General features: G+C 36.2%; 1 annotated feature.

Annotated features, from left to right (window-relative positions):
* Positions 4,927–5,016: an enhancer, noted in NCBI's record as "active region_21865". NCBI's record gives its function as "activates an Ori minimal core promoter by ATAC-STARR-seq in GM12878 lymphoblastoid cells {active_cell/tissue: GM12878}" and the evidence as "EXISTENCE:reporter gene assay evidence [ECO:0000049][PMID:35858748]".

Genomic DNA, 5,337 nt, shown 5'->3' on the forward strand with positions numbered 1-5,337 from the left:
ACTTTAAAATAACCATGATTAGTAAGTTAAAGAAAGTAGACCGAAATATGCACAACATTGAAGAAAAAAATGGAGGGTTACAATAGAGGATTTATAAATAAAGAATTTATTTTAAGAGCTCAAACAAACATTGTTGTGATAGTTAATTTTGTGTGTCAACTGGAAAGGAGAGCTCAGGTTAAACATTATTTCTGGGTGTGTCTGCGAAGATGTTTCCAAATGAGATTAGCATTGAATAAATGGACTCAGTAAGTAGACTCCCTGCCCAGTGTTGTTGGGCATCATCCAATCTATTGAGAGTCTGAATAGAAAAAAAAGGCAAAGGAAGGAGAATTTGTCCCTTTTACTTCCTGCCTCCCTGCTTAGCTGGGACATCTCATCTCATCTTCCCAGCTTTAGGATTAGGATTCATACCCAGCTTCCATGGCTCTCCAGCCTTGGGACCCAGACTGAATCACTGGCTTTCTTGGGTCTCCAGCTTGCAGACAGTAGATTATGAAATTTCTCATCCTCCATAATTGTGTGAGCCAATTCCTCATTATATATATTAATAATTATATATTATATAACATAGATTATATATGTGTGTAATATATAATATATATGTATATACATATATATTTTTTCTCTGTCTCCCTCTGGATTACCTTGAATACAATTCTAGAAGTGCAAAATACACAGTCTGAAATTAAGAACTCTTTTGATGGGTTTAACAGTAGACTGAACATAGGAGAAGATAGGATTTACAGACTCAAGTCAATAGAAAATATGCAAGAAGCACAGATAGAAAAAAGAATAGAAAGAACAAAACAAAACAGATAAGAAACGTGGAACAGGATTTAAAAAGTCTAACATGCATATAGCTAGAATCCCAAGGAGAGAAAAGAGAGATAAAAAAAGTTGAAGAAACAATAGTCAATAGCTTTCAAATCTCATAAAAAGAAACCCCACAAATTCAGTGAGCCCCAAGCAAGATAAATACAAAGAAAACTTCAGCTTTATTCTAAAAAGAAATAATAAGAGAAGATCTTTAAAAGAAAAAGATCATATTGCTTCTGGAGAAATATCAGGAAGAAATCCACTGACCAGAACTGTGCTAGAAGACATCATTAAAGAACTAAAAGAGAAAAAACAAACCTGCCAATTTAGAATTCTATACAGAATGAAAGTATCCTTCAAAAAAAAAGGCAAAGAAATAGACATTTCCATATAACCAAAGCTGAGAGAACTGTCACTAGTAGATCTTCAATACAAGAACTACTGAAGAATGTTCTTCATGTCAAAGTATAATGGTCCCAGATGGAAGAACAGAAGTACAGAACAGAAGTATAACACAGAAGTCCAAGAAAAGTTTATAACTTATGTAGGAGTAAAACAATGTGACAATAGCAGCAAAAAAGGATAGGAATGGTTAACTATTATAAGTTAAAGCACTGCAAGGAGCTTGACTATTGTGAACAGTGCTGCAATAAACAAGTGAGTGCAGATATCCCTTTGGTATACTGATTTGTCTTCCTTTGGATAAATACCCAGTACTGGGACTGACAGATCATATGGTAGTTCTATTTCCAGTTTTTTGAGAACTCTCCACACTGTTCTCCATAATGGCTGTACTAACTTACATTTCCATCAACACTGTATAAGAGTTCCCTTTACTGTGTATCCTTGCCAGTATCTGTTATTTTACAGATATCTGTTATATCTGCTCATTGCAGTGTTCGAGATATGGCAAAAGGAGACAAAATTATGGTTGCATTTTGTGATTTCTAGGGTAACCTCTAAAATGACACAAAAACATACAATAAAAAAGCTGATAGATGAGATAAAATTCAATAATAAAATGTAATTGATTAATGCAAAATAAGTAGGTATCTTAAGTCAGTAAAGAGTAAAAGGATTGTATAACTTTGACCTTTTTTAAAATACAAAGTTGACTTACAAAGTTGAGCTATTTGAACTAAGAGTGTCTACTTTGGGTTTTTCATGTTGTTTTAATATACTGTTAGAAACGACACTTACCTTAGTGCAGTTTCCATTTCACTTCCCACTGCATACTGGTAAGTCCACAACTTGGGACTATTGCTCTGTGTAAGTCAATTTGAATTGTACATTGGCATGCACTAGATTCTATCACCTTCTCAGTTCACTTGACACTTTATCTAGTTAAAAATTTACAAAACTAACAAACATAAGATAAGTATGCAGCATGTCCAACAGCCAAAGAGGCCAGAGGTCAGGCCAGCTCAAAGTATTTTTCACCAAAAGTATATCCTGTTCCTCTACCAGATATCATCAGAAGATAAGAATTATTCTACTCTTAAGATGTGAAAAAGAACTTGAGAGAGAAAGCAATTTTGTTTTTTTAGAAGGCAGTAAAGCAATCTAGATTCCAGGGTTTTAAAATACAAATCTCCAATTCTCACCCTAGGTCCATCCTTTTATTCATTTCCAATTTTGTAAATGCAGTGATTTTAATATACAAGGAACTCAAACAACTCAACAGTAAAAAAAAATAATCCCTTTAAAAAGTGGGCAAAATACATAAATAGACATTATTCACAAGAAGAAATATAAATGGCCATCAGACATATGAAAAAATTCTCAACATCACTAATCATCAGGGAAATACTAATCAAAACTACCATGAGATATCTTACCTCAGAATGGCTGGTATAAAAAGACAAAAATTAACAGATACTGGCAAGGATACAGAGTAAAGGGAACTCCTATATAGTGTTGATGGGAATGTAGGTTAGTAGAGCCATTATGGAGAACAGTGTGGAGAGTTTTCAAAATACTAAAAATAGAACTACCATATGATCTGGCAATCCCACTCCTGGGTATTTATCCAAAGGAAGAGAAATCAGTATACCAAAGGTATATCTGCACTCACATATTTATGGCAGCACTGTTCCCAGTAGTAAAGATATGGAATCAGCCTAAGCGTCCATCAGAGGACAAATGGATAAAGCAAATGTGGTATATATACACAATAGAATAATATTCTGCCATAAAAATAATGTAATCATGTCATTTGCAGCAACATGGATGGAACTGGAGGTCATTACATTAAGTAAACTAAGCCAGGAACAGAAAGACAAACAATGCATGTTCTCATTCATATGTGGGAACTAAAAAAGTTGATCTCTTGGAAGTAGAGAGTAGAATGGTAGACACCAGAGACTGGGAAGGGTGTGTGGGTAGGAGGGGCATATGAAGAGAGGTTGGTTAATGGGCACAAATATTAGATATAAGATATAAATTCCTCTTTTTTTTTTTTTGAGACGGAGTCTCGCTCTGTTGCCCAGGCTGGAGTGCAGTGGCGTGATCTAGGCTCACTGCAAGCTCCGCCTCCCGGGTTTACTTACGCCATTCTCTTGCCTCAGCCTCCCAAGTAGCTGGGACTACAGGCGCCTGCCACCACGCCCAGCTAATTTTTTTGTATTTTTAGTAGAGATGGGTTTTCACCGTGTTAGCCAGGATGGTCTTGATCTCCTGACCTCGTGATCCGCCCACCTCGGCCTCCCAAAGTGCTGGGATTACAAGCGTGAGCCACCATGCCCGGCCATAAGATATAAATTCTAAAGTTCCATAACAGAGTAGGGTGACTACAGTAAGCAACAATGTATTTTATATTTCAAAGTAGTTAGAAGAAAGGACCTAAAATATTCCCGACCCATAGAAATGATAAATACTCAAGGTGATGAATACCTCAAATATCCTGACTTGATCATTCTGTGTCTTACCCATGTAACAAATACTCACCTCTATCACATAAATAGGTAAAATATTATGTAGCAATTTAAAAAATTGTATCACAAGTCTTGAGAGTGTAGCCACTCTCAGGTTCTTTCCGGTTTTTGGCATCTTATTCCTTCTCTACGAACCAGGCTTCCAAAACTTATCCAGTTCTTGGAGAAGTTTATAGAGCAATTAGGAATATAGCATCTCAAGTATTGCCACAGACCTAACTGCATCATCATCTCTGTGGATGGGGCTCAGGAAGTCTTTAAGATACAGAAACCGCTCTTTCAGGCTATTTTTTAAAGGTACAAAACAAAAACCCTCTAGGTACTGAAAATGTCCTCTTCCTATAAAAACTATATGCTTTGAATCTCATAGCAGATCATAGTGCTATGACATTTCCTAAATAGAATTGGCCCACAGAGTTGTGGTTGGGTGAATCTCTATCAAGCATGTCTATTGGCAGGGCTGTTTATCAGTAGGAGTATGCTGTTAATGCAATTGCCTGTGTTCACAGATAGGTGAGTCAAATTAATTTCTGAATTGATGAGGTTTTCTAGGCATTTTTATTATTCCTCCACATATTTTTCAAATTTGCTGGAGGATCTCAAAAAGACATGGATGGAAAGAAATGGAAAACAGCCAATGATCTTCTTCTTCAGTTACATTGTCTGTTTTCTGAGTAAGTTAATGAGTCTCAGAATTTATCTTTATTTGTGCATTATTCCTCACATTCATATTCACTTTAATTTGTCTTCCAAAAGAATAGTTTTAGAAAAATGATTTATTGCACAAAACAAAAGTCAGAAAGAGACACAAACAAAGTTTTATTACCAAGGTAAGAGAGGGTATCTGGGCAAGAGGAAGTAAAACCATGAGTCTGCATGAAATGAAAAACACCTCCCTTATTCTCATGACTTCATCTTTCAGGCAGCTCCTCTAGTCCACCTTCCCACAGGCTAAGACAGGCTCTTGAACAGGTTGTCACGTTTTTACACAAGCCCAGGTGAACCCCAAAAGGAGCAAAACGAGATATAAACCGGGCTGTCAGGAACATCCACTAAACTTTAAAGCTCTGTACCTTTTGTCTTGGGGCCAAACCAACCTTGTGGCTTGCAAATTCCAAGCATCTTTTAATCTTTGCTTTCCAGACGTTAGAGGCAACTCACCAACATCTAACAACAAACCAAACTTGAAAATACTTAGCTCTGACCCAACCATGTGCCAGAGTTCCAGATGTCTTTAAAATTAACCTGTTCTCTGAGTCCTCTTAAAGGTCAGTTTCTTTTGCTACCAACTTGCCACTGTGCAGCAATAGCGCCATCTACAGAGCAATGTTAGGAAAAAGGACACCTGGTTAGGTGGAGGTCAAATTTGGGAGAAGGGAGTGGAATAATACATATATTTTTTGAAGTATAGCCCTTTACAGTCTATTTTCCAAATGCATTTGGTAGAATAATAATGTCATCTTTACATTTAAAGAGCAGCTTGGTATTTTTCACTTCCAAGAGTTTGTTTGAAAATGTGAAAAAGAAGAGATATAACAATAAACTAGAGAGGATAACAAATTTGGAATTAACAAATCACAATTTA

The sequence above is a fragment of the Homo sapiens genome, chromosome 4, assembly GCF_000001405.40.
Source record: "Homo sapiens chromosome 4, GRCh38.p14 Primary Assembly".
Lineage (NCBI taxonomy): Eukaryota > Metazoa > Chordata > Mammalia > Primates > Hominidae > Homo > Homo sapiens.